Below are 18,784 nucleotides of genomic sequence, written 5' to 3'. Positions count from 1 at the left end.
GGAATAGCATATGATTCAGTTATACTCTTATTTTCTTCTGCATCAATAGTAAATGTCACTAGGCAGAGTGCCAATATAAAATGAGAAATTGAGCTTCACAAGCTTTTACACTTTATAGCACTGCACATATCTTGTTGTAACTACTAAATAATAAAGGAAACTAGGATATTAGGGCAAAATACCCTATGTCAGCTTAGGGATCTAGAACCAAATCTGAGACAGAGGCACACTATGGCGATAGTCCATTAGAATGTGAGTGGGTGACCCAGAGTAGATCAGGAACAGACTAAACTCCTGGAACCCTTAAATCCTTTCTCCACTGACATTATCAACTCTAAACATTCTGATTATATCAGGGGAAAAAAGATCAGATGCTACCGTAGCCTCAGTCACAAAACATGGAAAAACAACCCTCAAACAAAAGACAGTACATCATAATCCTGCCAATAAAAGTCTGCCTACAGTGTCACAAATGTTTCAACAATGTCTGAAAAATAAAAGGGCAGCTTTTTCTTTGCCTATTCTTTTGAAAGACTTTCTCCTCAAAAGCCTTCAATGGTTGCCTAAAAAAATTTTGGTTAAACAGGCACTATTCCAGATGAAAAATATTCCAACGGACTTGAATTTTTTAAATCATCATTTTTCACTTACTAAGTCTCTGTAAGAATCCTAAGTATAAAAAAAGGCTCAAACATGTATCTCAACAAAATAAATACTCTGGCAACCAACTGCTAGTTGTGCTACAGAAATTGAATGAAGTCTTTAACATTTGGCTTTGCTAATTTGGATTCATTAAGTTAAGACTGTGATACATAAAATACAGTACTTTCTTCAGGCCCAGTTTAGATGTAATTCATTTCTTTCCTTATTTTTTAATTCTTAACTTCTAGACTATATGGGATAGAGTACTTCAAAGGTAACTTTTCTTTATAAATTTTCAGCATTTTACGATAATGCTATATTTTGTTTAGATGATTCAGGACTAAAGACTCAAGAAATTAAAGATCCTTTCAAAACATTCTGAACTTCTAAGTACAGTGATTTTTGTATGCTGCAGGCCTTGTGTTAGGATATTATATACTACAGGTTTTTGTACATTTATAGTAATTTTCCTCAGGTTACTACCATAAATTTATATTGTTCATTAAATGTTCAATAATGTATATATTTTTTACTATGGCAATTAAGTGCCCACTCTACATCAGGCACCATACAAAGCCTTTACCCCCAGAGACCAGAGGTTCTCAACCAGAGGCAATTCTGTCCCTCAAGGAACATTTGGCAATACCTGGAGGCATGTTTGGCTGTCAAAACAGGGGCATACTTCTTGCGTCTAAGGGGTAGAGGCCAGGCATGCTGCTAAATATCCTGAAACGCACAAGCCAGCCCCTCAGAATCAAGAATTATCTGGCCCCAAATGCCAATAGTGTCACTTTGAGAAATCCTAACCCTAGACATCTGTAATTTGTGTTTCTAATGCACTGGCAAAAGTAGTTGTTGTTAAACTTATTTAGGTATTTTCAAAGCTGAAAAGCACAGCTTTGTGGAAGAAGAAAAAAGAAAAAGGAAGCCTTTTTGATGAACAGTTTAAACATTATTATTTAAACTGGGGATTGATAATAATAATATATATAAAATGTTATTTCCCCATGTTATATGAAATAAATATTAACAATTCCAGAATAAAACCATCATACCTTTTTAACTGCTATAATATATCCTTCTTCTTGAAACATTTTGAAAAATTCACACATGAATGTCTCTTTGAAACTTGACTAAGAAAAAACAAACACAGGGTTTATATGTGTTAAATAGAGAATTAAGAATAGAATGGACTGTATTTTTAAGCTGAGGATTAAGGCCTAAAAGGACTCAATTATATATTTTCAGAGAGTTCAGGGCTTGGAGTGGAAGACTTCTTTCAAAGCTGTCATGTGATTATGGCCGAAGCAGGCAGACAGACAGACTGTCCTGCACCTCCTTACTAGGCTCTCTTGTCTTGTTTAGCAGTTTTCATGAAACTGTCTGCTTTTTTTTTTTTTTAATGTTCTCATTAAACTTTTTTTCTTTTTAAAACTTCTAGAGACAGGGTCTTGCTATGTTGCTGGGACTGGAGTGCAGTGGCTATTCATAGGTGCCATCATTGTGCACCACAGCCTTGAACTCCTGGCCTCAAGTCATCTTCCCGCTTCGGCTTCCTGGGATTAAAGACACAAGTCACTATGCCCAGCTTCTGAAACTGTCCTCTTTAACAGGTGACTAAGAGAGTATCTACTTAAAAGACAGCTATTGTGTCTGTGTGTGTGTGTGTGTGTGTGTATGTTTTGTTTTTAATTTGGAAGAAGGTAAGTCAAGGATAAGGGATCATAGGATGTAACAACATTTAGAAGTGTAAAAACAAAATAAAAGATGTAAGGACTTACCTTGCTTTTGGACAGACTCCCCCAGCTTCCCAAAGTTTGTATAGTTTTTGAGATGAGAGTTAATGTTCTAATTGTCTGTGCATCCTAAAGAATGTAAAAAAGACCAAAACTACTAAGTTTTCAAGAAAATAGTTTGTATAAAAAAGTAGAATAGAGTAAATGGACTACATTGCTGTAAAACAATGACTCAAAAACGTTCAAAACACACACAGTTAAAATCTAGCTAAGGCTGGGTACAACTCACCAGCCTAAGGAATTAAGAGACTAAAGAAACCATATATAATTAACAATTCTTCCCAAAGTAATTATTAAAGATGTGGTGCTTTTAAAAGTCATATATATATATATATATATATATATATATATTTTTTTTTTTTTTTTTCTTTTTTTTTTCCTGAGATGGAGTCTCACTCTGTTGCCCAGGCTGGAGTGTAGTGGCATAACCGCAGCTCACTGTAACCTCCACCTTCTGGGTTCAAGCGATTCTCCTGTCTCAGTCTCCTAAGTAGCTGGGATTGCAGGTGCCTGACACCACACCTGGCTAATTTTTGTATTTTCAGTAGAAACAGAGTTTTGCCATGTTGGCCAGGCTGGTCTCGAACTCTTGACCTCAGGTGATCTGCCTGCCTTGGCCTCCCGAAGTGCTGGGATTACAGGCATGAGCCTTTTGGCACCAGCCAAAAGCCATAATTTTATCAATATTATATATAAGTTGTTTTGTACAGTATGGCACCTTGGATTACCTGGCAAATTATAGTCACTTCTGGAATAGTCACTTCTACTTTACTACCTTATAACTTAAAATGGCAGTTTTAGGTGTTCCAAATTTTCTGTGCTCAGCTCACCTCTAAACATATTCAATACTTTAAATGGCTTTTGCAATTAACTCTTTTCACCATGGAAGCAAAGACCTAAATTCAGCTTAGGAAATGTGAAGTCACCTAGTTATTTTTGGATCTTACCAGAGGGTGATTATTTGGGTCTATTATCCAAGAGGTTTTTCAGGCCTGTCTATCTGAAAGAAGTAATATATAGTAGCATATAAAATTGACTAAACGGTGTTCCCTCAGGAATCTTTGCTCCTTCATTTTTTTAAAAATTGAGATATAATTTACATATGACAAAATGAATAGGTATTAAATGAATACCCTGCTGAATTTTCACCAATCCATACATTTGTGTAAGTTTCTATCAAAACACAGACCATTTTTATTTACGGATTCAAGTAAACAGTATCTTGCATCTAAAAACATATCCAGAAAAATTTAGATACAGAAAAGCTTTAGTTTGATTTTTGGCTCCCATTCCTTGATATTTTAGTATCCCCCCAACCCCCACATTGAAAACAGGCAATGAATGTGAAGGGGAAGAGATGACCAGAATATAAGGTAATCTGGAAAGGAAGGAATATCCGAAATATGATCCTTATAATATACTTATAAAGTAGATACACACCTAAATTAAGTCTATTCAGAAAACATTTTAGCTGTAACATCTGGGATTTCATTACATCTATAAAAGGTCCCTACAATTCTCTGTCTTTGAAGAAAATAATATTCTTAAAGATGTCCTGGCACCTGCACTCATGTTTCCTGCAGCACTATTTACAATAGCAAAGTCATAGAACCAACCTAAGTATCCACCAACATCTGTTACAGGAATATGCAAATTCAAGTATGAATACAAGGCAGACTCACAAGTTCAGAAGTAGGTGTTCTGTTTATGTCCAGAATGTTGCTACCACGCTTTCACTGCCTCAGAGTTCTGTGCAGCTTTAGTAACAAAGCCACAGAATGGACAGCCCTGTGAACAAAAGGACACTGGCCCACTCTCTGCTGGGGCTACTCACAGACCATTTATCCTTTGGCAAGAAAGGGCGTGGTGCTGCCACTGCAACATGGTTCTATTCAGTTCTCACAAAGTTAAGTGAGTGTCAATGTCATGTAGCCGTTGAGAGAAGAAATGGGTATTCAGAACCTGGTTTAACTCTAAAACTCATCTGTTTTCCCTACACTATTGAGCAACTCCTCTTGGCTGTGAGTTTCCTAAGGGCAAAGAGTATCTTACTCATCACTGCATCTCCAGTACTGAGCATGGAATGATACATTATAGGTACTTGAACATCTGTCTAAGAGGTTGGAAGGGATAGGATTAAGCTCACAGATGATAAAGACTGACTGAATTTGAATCCCAGTTAAATCCAATTCAAATCGAGTATGATCAAATCATAATTTGTCAGTTGTGTGAGCTTGGAAAAGTTACTGTATTGTGATTTCCTTATCTGCACATGTGGATGATAACAGAATTTACCTTACCAGGTTGCTAGGAGGACCAAATAAGTTAACACATAAAGTAGTTAGAACAAGGCCTAGTACAAAGCACTAAATAAATGTGGACTATTGTTATTATTTGTTATACAAATCAGCAACTAGGAGCAATTAGGTAAGATTATAAAGTATTTGGAACATAAAAGCTTAAAGAATCAACCAAATTACACCATATAAGAAGGAATCAGAAGTATAGCAAAAATAAAGAATTTTAAAAATTAAGAAATAAACATGTAAATCTATGCAGTGGAGATTTAGATTTTTGGTAATTAAACAGGACTCCAGAACAAAGTTTATATGCTTAAGAAATTTTTAAATCTCATGTTTACAGTATTACCTCAGGTAAATAAAAAGTGAAAATACTGATATATTTAACAAGTTATATTCCAATAAAAGTTCCTACGCCTTTCACTATACTGCATTCTTGGTTTCTTTTTCTGTTTTTACTGTTAATGCTTATCCAGTTCACCTGCCATTTAATATTTTCTAATTATATGCTTTCAGTTTCATTGCTACTGAAATCTATCTTAGATGCTGTTTCTAAATTAAATGGAATTTCTCTTGTAGCCTTCTTTCTTAGAGAAGAGCCTCTTCAAATTTCTGTGCAATTTAAAAATATCTGCAAAATTAACCTATTTTAATAAATCAGGAAAGTAGATTTTGTTTAAATAAAAAACCTATCAAAATGAAACCTGTAACTAATGAAAAAAAACTTATGGAAATTTACAAACACACACAGTAGCAGATGAAAAAATATAATAAATCCCCTTTGTACTCATCACCAAGCTTCAATAATTAACAACATTTTATTACTCTTGTAGAACATCTTTTAACAACAACAAAAAATAGGATTATTAGCCTCACTTGAAAGACTGAAATGGCCAAGAAAAATGCTGAGTAAATTTAAGTATCAGTTATAAGAAAATACAGCCTAGTGAAATTGGTTTATTTTATCTTTTCTTCATTTTAATAAAAATTAAAAAAATGGAATAAAGCTTTCAGAAGAATGAACACTTACTGGATGATGAGGTCGCAAATGAAAAGTATGAGGTGATACTACGGCTACAGCAAAGAAACGAAGAAATACAAAGCTGCTCACTGCAGAATACTGAACATGAGGGTCATCTGCAGGAAAAAAATGGTGAAATGTCATGCACAAAAACAATTAAAAAACAAAGATGATAAATTAAAAAATATAGAAAAGACATGTAAACTAGGAGAGCAACATAATTTGTCTAGTAAGAACTGAGTTGATGAAATGATAGTGATATTTATGACTCAATTAAAAGAAAACCCCTATGATTAAAAAAATCCAAAAGAAATAAGAAATAATATGAAAAAAGACAAAGCTGCTAGGTTTTCAGAAATATTTTAATTTGAAAAATACCTCTTTCCTCACCTGCAAGAAGAGACTGCTAAAATTACAACAGAAATAAAAGTAGTATCTAGCACTACCTAGTGGTAACACTGAATCCCTTAAGAGTATGATACAAGGCTACTTTCAGTTTTAGGTTCTTGTTTCAATATCCCCCCCAAAAATCTTGATAATATCAAAAGTTATGCAACAAAAACAATTAGGCAGAAATGTTTACTTTAAAAAGCTATCAACAGTCCATAAATAAAAATGCAGATGAACTGAAGACTACTGGTGGCTTTGATCATTCACCTACAACTTTCGTTTCAGACTGGAGTCAACAATTTACCCAACAATCAGACAGATGGTGGTGAAGCAGATGGTGAGGGAAAGAATCTTTAGGTTTGGTTCGAGTTTTAACTCTTCTAAGTCATTCAGTAGGTAACCATTAACAAGTCGTTTAATTTGTCATTCTTTAGTAATATCTGCTTTCTACCTGCTGTCTGCTCTGCCCTCCTTCCCCCATTCTTCTAGGGTAGTAAGAACAACAAAAACGAGAGAATATGAAACACTTATGGCAACAAAACTGTCACTACTATAGTCTACTGAGGATATGATAACCATATTAATAGTTAAGTCAACAAAAACATAACTAAAGAGATACATCTGCATGTATATAAAAACATAAAGTGTTGGCCGGGCGCGGTGGCCCACGCCCGTAATTCCAGCACTTTGGGAGGCCGAGGCAGGTGGATCATCTGAGGTCAGGAGTTTGAGACCAGCCTGACCAACATGGAGAAACCCCATCTATACTAAAAATACAAAATTAGCCAGGCGTGGAGGCACATGTCTGTAATCCCAGCAACTCGGGAGGCTGGAAACCTGGGAGGCGGAGTTGCAGTGAGCCGAGATTGTGCCATTGCACTCCAGTCTGGGCAACAAGAGTGAAACTCAGTCTCAAAAACAAAAACAAAAACAAAACCCAAAAAAACCCCATAAAGTGTTTAAGATCATTTATATAAACAAGAATTAAACTGCTAAAACAGATTTAAGGCCAAGATCACCAGTTAGTATAGAGTATAGTGAATGGCAGCATGTAGTTTGGAGTAGACTAGGCCCAGGTTTGAGGCCCTGCTTGCCTGTTGGCCACGCCACAGACCTTGGTAAAGTTACTCAGCTTCTCTAAACCTTAGTTTCTCACCTAATGGGAGTAGTACCTACCTCATGTGGTTTTGTGAAGATGAGAACAGGAGACAATGGAGGCTAACACACTAACACTGTGTGTGTTACTAAGTAGTCAATGTGGTTATCATGATTTAACTATTTAAAAATATAATTTCAATGAGCATTTCACCTTTCCGTGTGCCTCTGGCTCCCCTTATTTTTGTTATGAAGATTAGATTTAGTTACTTATTTGCAACTATAATTAGCAAAGACATTTAGATCTAAATTTATCTACATGTTAGACAACTCAGCCCCACTAATTTAGTAATGGGTCAATTTAGTAGAAGTGCAGTTAACTGCACACATGTGTGTACAGGGTGAGCACATGCTTAAAAGAACATAAAACTGCAAAATCTCTTCAGATGGTTACAGAAATAAACTTACAGTTTTGCACAGCTGGTTAAGACTGGTAATTTAAGTACCTGCCTAATTTTACCCTCCTACCCACCACCTCCCATTATAGACAGATCTGGAAAGCTACCTATAGCAAGTTTATTTACTTATCAGAAATATATTAAAATGTGAATAATTCTAAGTATTAGCAGCGACAGTAACACTTAATTTTATGAAAAGTTTCTAAGCAAAACCTTGACATAGCTACTTTTTCAAAATTAAAACATGCCAGTTACTGATATATGTACCTTAAAACTCTATGTATGTTACAACAGAAAGGTTTCTAATGTCTAAGACCATTTCTGTAAAAACCTCTCACCACCAAAACCTTATTAGCATTCTCAAACTGTCAAATCTAGTCAATTTTATGGAACTAAAGATTCTCACTATCTGAATGCATGCAGCTGGAAAAGATAGTTGGTATAAATAACAAAGGTATTTTTAACTCTCATAAGCATCTGGTATAAGTGCTTACTTATATAATGTTACAGTTCTGAATTTTTGCCTTTCTTTAATGGTGATTTTGATTTGCTCTTTGTATAAAGTTGCATTATACTGAAATAAAATGGAATATGTATTTTGAGATTTCAAGAAAAATCAGATTTCTTATGAGAAAGATAGAATCATTTTGAAAAACTAAAGAAGGTTGTACTTAAAAACCTTAGGCTGGGCGTGGTGGCTCACGCCTGTAATCCCAGAAACTTTGGGAGGCCGAGGCGGGCGGATCACGAGTTCAGGAGATCGAGACTATCCTGGCTAACATGGTGAAACCCCGTCTCTACTAAAAATATAAAAAATTAGCTGGGCATGGTGGCGGGCGCCTGTAGTCCCAGCTACTCGGGAGGCTGAGGCAGGAGAATGGCATGAACCCGGGAGATGGAGGTTGCAGTGAGCCAAGATAGCGCCACTGCACTCCAGCCAGGGTGACAGAGCAAGACTCCGTCTCAAAAAAAATAAAATAAAATAAAATAAAAATAAATAAATAAATAAAAACCTTAAATATCTCACAAACCAAACATGTAATTAATATCTATAAAAAAGTCAAAGAAAAATAAATGGCATGTTTTAGTAAAACAAGGCACTTACTAGGAAATCTCTGAGTAGCCATCTGCCTTAGAGAATAAAAGATATCACACATTACAGTGGGGCAGCTCATACTTGATTTTACAATTGTATTGAATAACTTGTCTACATAGTAGCGCAGATTCTCCTGCAGGATTTAAAAAGGTAAACATTAAGATTTTGATGTTCACACATCTTCAATAGCCTTCATGAAAGAAAAATGTAAGAAAATGAGGTTTATTAGACAGTCACTATCTAACATTTTTTAAAGTACTGTTACCCTTTTCCAAACTCATTCAGTTTAAGGACAATTTACATACTGACTTAATTTAATAAATTAAATTTAGATTTGCTAGGCGTAAGAGGTGAATCTATGAATAAACCTCACAAGAAGCAAGAGGGAATAAAATGATCCAAAAGGAAATCACAAAATAACTCGGATACACAAGCACAAGGACATTGTGACACTATTATCCACTGCAATAAAAATTTGTGACCCTAACACAATCATTGTTTTTTCAGAGGCCACTGAAACTACTGACTGATAAAGTCACTGTGTCACTTAGCCTGATCAGTTTGAGCCCAAAGGAATGGCTAGAACGGGGGCTGCAACTAGCTATAGCTTAAGTTCACTATTGTTACTAGAGCCAAAAAGAGACAATCAAGAACAAAAATAAAGTGAAACCACTGAGGAAATAACATTCTAAAAACTAATCCTAGGAGCTGGAAGTGCTGCTAATAATAAAGGCTTATGTGAAGAATAAACAGCACTGCTTCCCTCTATATGGCTTTATCATAATGTAAGTGGGAGAAAGGTACACCATTAAGACCAATTTTAATGCAATTATAAATAATATAACAAGGACTTACCTTATTATTTTCTACATTATCTCCCTCTTTCAATTTAATAGGATCGATTTCACAGGATTTTGAGGAGTCACATATCTGAAAAATAAATTTTTCAGTTAATGATTTTTTTCTAAGTAGTCTGACAAAATGAAAATAACTTATTTTTCTGATAATAAAAGTTAATTATAGAAATTTAAACTGTAGCAAAGCGTAAAATGTCCTATGCAGGGATAACATATACAATTTTCTTAAAACATGATATCAAAAAGTATTTGTCATATATTTGAAACTCTAGCTAAAATAGAAATCCCATAACAAAGAAATAATGTAGATTATACTATACTGTACCTTTTGAGTAAAAATCCATTGACAGAGAAGTAAATAATTTGCTTCTAAAGTGTTCAGTCTATTTTTTCAGTAACACATGAATGAATAAATCCTTCCCATCAATAGATCACTTGATAAAAGAACAACTATCATAAGGCCACAAACTATCATTGTTGGAGATATATTCTGTACCTCATCAAGAATAGGTTTTAATGTTACTTTCAGGTAGTGCCCTCCCACTATTTTCATCATCTCATCCAGACATCGGGTAGCCAGGGAATTTCCTCTAAAAATTGTGTTTGCATCTCTGAAATAGAAATAGATGAAACCAAATGTAGTAAACAAAGGTTTTGAAACCAATAATATAACATACTTGACCAATTTAAGAAAGAAGCATTTAGCTGAAATAGATTAAGACATACTAGAAGGCATAAGTGACCTACAATTTTAGTAATTTTTACCATTTATTTAAAAGCTTGCTGCCATTAGGTTTTTCAAACTTACCAAAAATATATTAAAATAATGGCCAGGTGTGATGGCTCATGCCTGTTATCCCATCACTTTGGGGGTCCGAAGCAGGTGGATCGCTTGAAGTCAGGAGTGTGAGACTAGCCTGGCCAACATGGTGAAACCCCATCTCTACCAAAAATACAAAAATTAGCTGGGCGTGGTGGCGAGTGCCTGTAATCCCAGCTACTCAGGAGGCTGAGGCATGAGAATCGCTTGAACCTAGGAGGCAGAAGCTGCAGTGAGCCAAGATCATGCCACTGCACTCCAACCTGGGTGAAAAAGCGAGACTCTGTCTTAAAAACAAACAAACAAAAAACTCAATACATATGTGTGTGTGTGTGTGTATATATATATATATATATATATATATATATATGTTTTTTTAAAAAGGCAAATCATGTTTATGAACCAAAAATGTGGAGTATATGTATGTCTCTGTGTGTAAAAAAACAACAGTGTTAGACTATGACGTGAATGAGAAGTCACTTGACTGCTTTTTAGAATGTCATACATATGCATATAAGGGTGATACATAATGAATAAAGAAAAAAACACTTCTGCTCTGGTGTTTTAACTTGTGACACGTGAACCATTACACTAAGAAGCAGATTAGTAACAAATGAAATTTCCTGAGTTAAAGAAAAACATCCTTCATTAATTGTTGTCCTTAAGGTAGGTGAATACTGTTTGATAGCTTAACTGCCTTTTGTTATTTGTTAAGTACTTCTTTTCAGCCTACTATACAGTAAGGCTGATCAATACAAAAAAATTCAGACTACAAAATCAATCTGTCAAACTAAGGTCCAATTTCAACAACATGTAATTAACATTTAATAAAATATAACTCTTACTGTGTATCCTTCAAGTCTAATTCAGCCACAGCAGTGGCAAAAGGAACAAGTTTATCATGGTGCAGCAGCAGTCGTACAAGGGGCAAAACAGCATCATTTTTATCTCGACATATTTCACTCAAAATGTAAGCAGCTGAGGCAGATATTGGCTAAATACAGAAAGGTAGAAAACAAGCACAAACATCAAGGAAACATGATTAACTGTTCAATCACTAGCCTGTAAAAGTAACTGAAATAATGTCACTAAAGCTGTTATACAGGACATTTAATTTTCGAAATTTTTTATCAGAGATGATTGTGGGAGCACATGTAGGAATCATAGTACTCTGGTTCAGATAAATAGAAATGTGTGTGTGTATATATATGTATGTATATAATTTTTACTGTTTTAATAAGACTTGATACTCTTGAAATCTTTTCCTTATCATTTATAGAATTATTTTAGCCGTTTCGTGTTAAATCATATCCTTAAGATTCTTAACATACTTGAACATCTGGTGATTTTAGCAGCAAAGTTTTCAAAGGACCATAGTACTCTGAAGGAAGCACGTAGTCTTCTGTATAACATATATTTAATCGAAGAGACCCCAGGTCATCAGTTTTGGATGACTTGTTTCCATTGTCTCTTGGCTGTAGCAAGTACCTAAAGTAAAAATATAAGTGATTCCATGTGATGGAAATGCATTCAAGCCAATGAGGCAAGTTAAGAGTTAAGTTATAAAAAAACTAAACCAAAAAAGTCAACTTAGTATTTACAGTTAGGAAGCTTCATAAGTAGCAGGATACTCATCTTCAGAAAACTAATATTGGTTATACATTGGATTACAAAGCTATAAACACATTTTTATCCAGGAAACAAAAAGCATAGATATTACAGAAATTAAGATCTCAAAGGAGTTGAACAAGAGTTTGATTAGCTTGCAGGTTTAGAAAAAATGATAATAAAAGGTAAACATTTAAAATCCAATGTATTATCAAAAATAAATTTTTACCAACTAAATTTAAGAAAGAGGCATTTAGCTGAAAATTAAGACAGTCCGGGTGCAGTGGCTCATGACTGTAATCTCAGCACTTTGGGAGGCTGACGCAGGCAGATCACTTGAGGTCAGGAGTTCGAGACCAGCCTGGCCACCATGGTGAAACCCTGTCTTTACTAAAAATACAAAAATCAGTCCGGCATGGTGGCAGGTGCCTGTAATCCAGCTGCTTGGGAGGCTGAGGCAGGAGAATCACTTGAACTCAGGAGGCGGAGTTGCAGTGAGCTGAGATCCCGCCACTGTACTCCAGTCTGGGCTTGCCTGGATGACAGAGCAAGACTTCGTCTCAAAAAAAAAAAAGTAGATAAGACATATCAGAATGCGTAAGTAACCTTGTTTTAAAGTAAATTCTTTTTCCAAAAATTTGAACTTAAGAGAAATTTGCAGGACCAAAACCAGAAATCTAAGAGTTTAAAAAAAAAAAAAAAAAGCTTTTTATCATGGGAATTTAAAAACACAAACAAAAGAGAATATTGAACGCTCATGTACCCATTATCTAGCTTAAACAATTATCAACTGAAGACTAATCTTGTTCGCAGTCACAGAAAGAAAAAAATTATGTCCTTTGCACTAACATGGATGCTGCTGGAGGCCACTACCCTATGCGAATTAATGCAGAAACAGAAAACCAAATACCCTATGTTCTCACTTGTAAGTGGGAGCTGAACACTGGGTATGCACAAACACAAAGATGGTAACAATAGACACTGGGGGTTCCAAAAGTGGGGAGGGAGATAGGGGGGTAGGGATTGAAAAAACCATCCGGTACTTTGTTCGCTACTTGGGTGAAGGGATAATAAGCCTAAACCTCAGCATTACACAATATACCCATGTAACAAACCTGTACCTATACCCCTGAATCTAAAATTAAAAAACAAAACAAAACAAAATTGGATGAAGGCTGATAAAAATTGTAAAGTACCATTGACAATCAAGTATTCATATTTCCTTTTTGGGGGGATACTCAGCAATATGCTTGCCTAAATTTGAAATTTATGATTTGTTGTTAGTGTAAATACCTATTTTTTTCTAGACTATATCAGGATTAGAGAAAGGCAATTTTTACTCTTAAAGTAGCCTAAGTTGGCAAAAACAATTGAACTCAACTAATTTGGTCATTAAAACTTCAGAATTGCTGGGCTTTAGCCAAAATATATCTTTCTAGGACTGGAAAAAAAAAAGTTTGCTACTCATTCAAGATATCACAAGAGTTCCAGGAGTTAAAAAATTGTTCAAACTCTTAAAAATTTATTTATCTAAAATAATATGCCCATTACAAATACTTCATCCCCTTTATTCCATTAGAGCAAAATATCTAAAAACATCCAGGAAAAAAACTTAACTGTATTCTTATTCTTCAATAATTCATTATTTTAAAAAGGCGTTTTCTTGTGCTGTATATAAAATAGTGAATCTTTGCTTTACTTAACTATAACCAGAAACCAAACTGCAGAAAAACTGTATTATATATGTCTTTTATTAGTATATTCTAAAACAAAATTATTTTAAGTTACTATGTGCAGCCAGATGATCAATACTAACACTGATAACATCCTTATTTGGACACTGAAAATAGCATAATTTTAAATTATGCTGCAGAAACTATCACAATTAGAATATATTAAAGGAATTTATTTATAAATATTTATCTGCATATTTTTTTTCCTGTGGCTTATCATCATATTGCCCACAAAATTTATTTTCAGAAATAACTCCAAATTAAATTTACAAATTTGGATTTGCTATTAACAAACGCTGTAGGGTAGATAAAAGCAACTGAATGGAGATTCTTTTTGTAGTGAAGCTCAAACTTCAAGAACTAAGAAAGAATCTGTGTGGAGTGCCACTTACTATTTTCATCACTCTTTGAACCAGAATCTTCTTTATTTAATATTAAAAAATCCTTACTACACATAGACAAATAGATAACGATGCATACATATATAAACAATGTCATCAAATCAATGCTTTTGTTTTTTTAAGGAACGTTTTCTTTATTTTCTCTTTTAACTTTGTTTTTCTCTTATCTTTTTTCCTATCTTCAAAACACTACCATTCTGCACCTCCGCTTCTCTTAGGAACCTGTTAACTACCTACTATGGACCCTTCTCTATTTTCTTCATGCTTATATAATTTTATATAGATTTTTAAAAATGTGTGCATATATACACATTTATAAATGAGTTCTGAGCCTATTAGTCAGTTTACAAAAATGTTATCATATTCTACTCTCCTGTATCTTGTTTTTTTTACCTGAAAGCACTTCCTAGTTAACTCTTTGAAACTACTTTTCATAGATCCAGTTTGTTCTTTTTAACGGGTACATAATATTCATGCAATGAATGGACTCGAGTTCTTTAAGAGAGGTATTTATGAATATAATGAAAAATAATTGTACTGTCTTGTGAAGTGAAAATGCTATACAGCTTAATAGGCCATAAGTAACTTAAAAATAATTGTGTTCAGAAAGCAATAAACAGCAAACATTAAAATTTTGAATTTAATTTCAACCCTCCTTACTAAGAGACTGGGGAAAATTATTTATTTGCTTTTTGGGTCTGGGAAATTCTCTCTCTCAGTCCTCTGTTACCCAAGTCCTGCTAAAATGCTTTTGTGGATTTTCTTTGCCATTCTTCTCCCAGAATAATCTGCACTGATATTTCTTTTATTATTTGCAGAAAATCCTCAACCTCTGTTTATACAATTGTTCAACATTTGTACTAGGCACGGCAAATTTATAGCACTGGTTACTTATACTGAGGAAGAGTTTGTCTTTCCATTTTCATCTTGTTACTGCTCTATTCTGTTCCTCTCTTACTCACTGCCTCTATGGTATACACTTGCTACAGTAAAGGGAGGGATTTTCTCCTTTGGTATCATGTCACAATTATGACACGAATTGCATTTTCTTATATTTTGTGAATACATGTAAAATACATTAAGAATGCATTTTAATGTTTTAAAAATACATTTAAAAAGTTTTAAAATACATTAAAATGCATTTTAAATGTTGTCAATATTTCCCCTATACTGTTTGAGAAATAAATTACATATTTTATCTAAGAATGTAGAATGTTTGGAATTATTATTATTATTATTATTTGAGACAGAGTCTCACTCTGTCACCCAGGCTGGAGTGCAATGGCATGCTCTCGGCTCACTGAACCTCTGCCTCCCGGGTTCAAGCGATTCTCCCGCCTCAGCCTCCCGAGTAGCTGGGACTACAGGCGCGGGCCACCACACCGGGCTAATTTTTGTATTTTTAGTAGAGACAGGGTTTCACTATGTTGGCCAGGCTGGTCTTGAACTCCTGACCTCAGGTGATCTACCCGCCTCAGCCTCCCAAAGTGCTGGGATTACAGGTGTAAGCCACCATGCCTGGCCTGGAATTATTTATTTATACTCATAGTTTTCAAGTTTTATAAATCCTGTGCTAAGGCCTTTCTAAAGTTTAAAATTACAAAGCCCAGTAGTAAAGTAATTCCCTAAAAATACTAAAACAGATTCACAGGTGCAATATTTTTAAGCAGTTTGAGTTTTTTTAAGCATTGCTGTTTGAACCCACGATTTTATTTTCAGTAGATAGGTCAGAATAGGGCACATGGGCTTAGTAGTAGACATTCCATGGATATTGACTAGAGAGTGAGTGAATGAATGCTTTGGTTTTGAAGCCTTGGGTCACTTTTTGAAAGCAATTAGAAGTTTCTAACTAACATGAGAAAAAAGCTGCCATCTTCTCTATTCTCTATCTAAAGGCAATGCCAAACAAAATTTAAAAATACATACACTGATTTTTTTTTAATAAAAGACTGATCTTGTTTCAGCCATACCTTCACTCACTCTCCCATCCTGTTCCTGCATTATTATTTTAAAGCAATTTCCAGGTATAATTTCATATATAATTTTAAAAAGTCATCACTATTCACTTAGTATTCAAATTTCCCCAAACTTATCATAAATGTTTTTCTACAGTTTGTTCGAATCCAAATAAGGTCCATAGATTAGAATTGGTAATAGCATTCTTAAGTCTCTTTTATAGATTCCTCACTGTTGGTCCTATAGAGTTTTCCACCTTTGGAATTGTGTTAACTCTTATCTCTACCTCCACAATGTCATTTACCATATTCCTTCATCCTCTCTGTATTTCCTCTATATTGGTAGTTAGATCTAGAGGCTTGGTTAGATTCAGATTTGATGTTCTGGCAAGAATGCTTCATTGATAATGCTGTGTAGTTCTACCAAGAGGCATAAATGTCTGGTTGTTTCTCCTTTTGCAATATCAGCAGCCACTGATGATCACGGCTTAGAGCCATTAATCATCAAAATGATAATTTTATAACTCTATCACTCCTCCTTCACTTAGCTGGAATGCTGAGATGCTTTTTATAAAAGAAATAGTAGTTTTAATACTTAATTTATATATTTATCAGCTATGACCTCCTCTAATATATTAATTCATTTAAAAATAGAAGGAGGAAGGCTTTAATAGAACATTTATTAGCTTTGAGAAAGATAAGATAAAGACAGAAAAGACAACTAGCGAATTAACCAAGGCAAATTTAAAGGATGAAGGGATGGTTAATACAAGAAGAAATTACATCACTATCCCACAAAAGAGGAAGATCAACCTTCAGAACATCTACTGTCTGATTTAAGAAATAGTGATGTAAAGATATGGTCAATGAAATAATTAGAAACAAGCCTGTTAGCAAAGGTGACTCAGAAGTACCTCTAAGGGAAGTGTATTTAGTCTGTCCTTATGCTGCTAATACAGACATACCCAAAGCTGGGTAATTTATAAAGGAAAGAGGTTTAATTGACTCATAGTTCCACACGGCTGGGGAGACCTCGCAATCATGGCAGAAGACAAAGAAGAGTAAAGGGACGTCTTACATGCGGCAGGCAAGAGAGCTTGTGCAGGAGAACTCCCATTTATAAAACCATCAGATCTCATGAGACTTATTCACTACCACAAGAACAGTATGGGGATTTGAAACCACCCGATGATTCAATTATCTTCACCTGGCCCTGCCCTTGACATGTGGGGATGATTACAATTCAAGGTGAGATTTGGGTAGGGACACAGCCAAACCACATCAGGAAGTTTAGCTGGTTGATGACCAAGCATCCTGACAATTGATACTTTGGTCAATTTTTCACAATCCAGGGCATGTTCGGCAACCTTGCAAATTCAGACATCTCGTTTTATCAGCACATCTAAAGTGAACCTGAAGGTCAAGTGTGGTGGCTCCCGCCTGTAATCCCAGCACTTTGGGAGGCCAAGGCGGGTGGATCACCTGAGGTCAGGAGTTCGAGACCAGGCTGGCCAACATGGTGAAACCCCATCTCTACCAAAATACAAAAATTAGCCAGGCATGGTGGCACAGGCCTGTAGTCCCAGCTACTTGGGAGGCTGAGGCAGGAGAATCGCTTGAACCCAGGAGGTGGAGGTTGCACTGAGCCAAGATTGCACCACTGCACTCCAGCCTGGGCGACAGAGAGAGACTGCATCTCAAAAAAATAAAAAAAAAGAATAAGGTGCACCTGAATTGCAATGACTGAGTGCAGAGCCTGATATACTTAAAAGCAGGTCAATTATTAAATTTATGAAAAAGAAATATAGTCAAGTGGCATAAGTACCTGGATTGTTAAGTGACCAATGCATTTTATTATAGAAATGCTCACTTACAAAAGTAGGGAGAAGAGTGATAATAGTAATAATGAACACCCTTTCTTACCACCACCCCCATGTGCTTGTCACTTGGTTACAACAATTATCACCATTTACCATAGGGTTTTCATCTATATCTTTCACTGTATTTTTTTACCTGTTGGTAGGCTATTTGGAAAGGCAAATTATCAAAAGGCGTTGTGGTGAGTACAGAGGCATGACAAGGAGTTTTATGCAGCCTTAAGAATCTCTCAGCTAAGACAACAGTCTTGCCAAGGAAACAGTAATTCTTCTGGACCAGAATCCCCTACCCCCTCAATTGTGCTTGAATAGGCAGTACCATGCCTACCTCTTTGGAATCCTTTTTTATTACTCTAGATGAATCTTTTCCTCCTATTGAACTAATGTTTTCCATGCACAGTAGATTAACATTACTTGTATTACTGCTTACTCAGTTACAACTGGTTCTGCCTCTCTGGGACCATCCCTATCCATCTTAAACAGTGTCTCTGAACTCTACAGTCAAAACAAACTCTGTTTTGGTTTTTACTACAGAAATTTTGCTCAGAGCGCAACTTTATTTCCTTTAGCTCCAAATAACTGAGGGAGGGGTATGACATCCCTCTTTACTCTCATATAACTGAAAATTACCAGGCCTACAGTCTTAACATAGCATTGTTCTATGTAGAGGAATTAGGGTAGTGCTATACCAATTACTCATTTTTATGCATACATTGTTTTTGGATGCTTAAGAAC

General features: G+C 35.1%; 1 protein-coding gene across 6 annotated transcripts in view; it reads right to left on the bottom strand.

The window, feature by feature from the left end:
- The window catches only part of RASA2 (RAS p21 protein activator 2), a 128,318-nt gene that overhangs the window by 32,470 nt on the left and 77,064 nt on the right, over nt 1–18,784 (bottom strand). For 5 of the 6 annotated variants that reach the window (NM_001303245.3, NM_001303246.3, NM_006506.5 and 2 more), the window contains 8 exons: nt 11,807–11,963; nt 11,321–11,469; nt 10,152–10,266; nt 9,654–9,728; nt 8,808–8,931; nt 5,769–5,875; nt 2,424–2,507; nt 1,698–1,775 (listed from right to left, as the gene is read on the bottom strand). In NM_001303245.3, the coding sequence (NP_001290174.1) occupies nt 1,698–1,775; nt 2,424–2,507; nt 5,769–5,875; nt 8,808–8,931; nt 9,654–9,728; nt 10,152–10,266; nt 11,321–11,469; nt 11,807–11,963 (889 nt within the window). Of the gene's footprint in view, nt 1–1,697; nt 1,776–2,423; nt 2,508–4,120; nt 4,227–5,768; nt 5,876–8,807; nt 8,932–9,653; nt 9,729–10,151; nt 10,267–11,320; nt 11,470–11,806; nt 11,964–18,784 lie in introns of those variants that run through there. The other variant, XM_047448652.1, reaches the window with a different exon arrangement.

The sequence above is a fragment of the Homo sapiens genome, chromosome 3 (assembly GCF_000001405.40).
Source record: "Homo sapiens chromosome 3, GRCh38.p14 Primary Assembly".
In the NCBI taxonomy this organism is placed as follows: domain Eukaryota; kingdom Metazoa; phylum Chordata; class Mammalia; order Primates; family Hominidae; genus Homo; species Homo sapiens.
The sequence above is the reverse complement of the archived record's forward strand: the minus strand, read 5'-3'. Positions and strand labels throughout refer to the sequence as shown.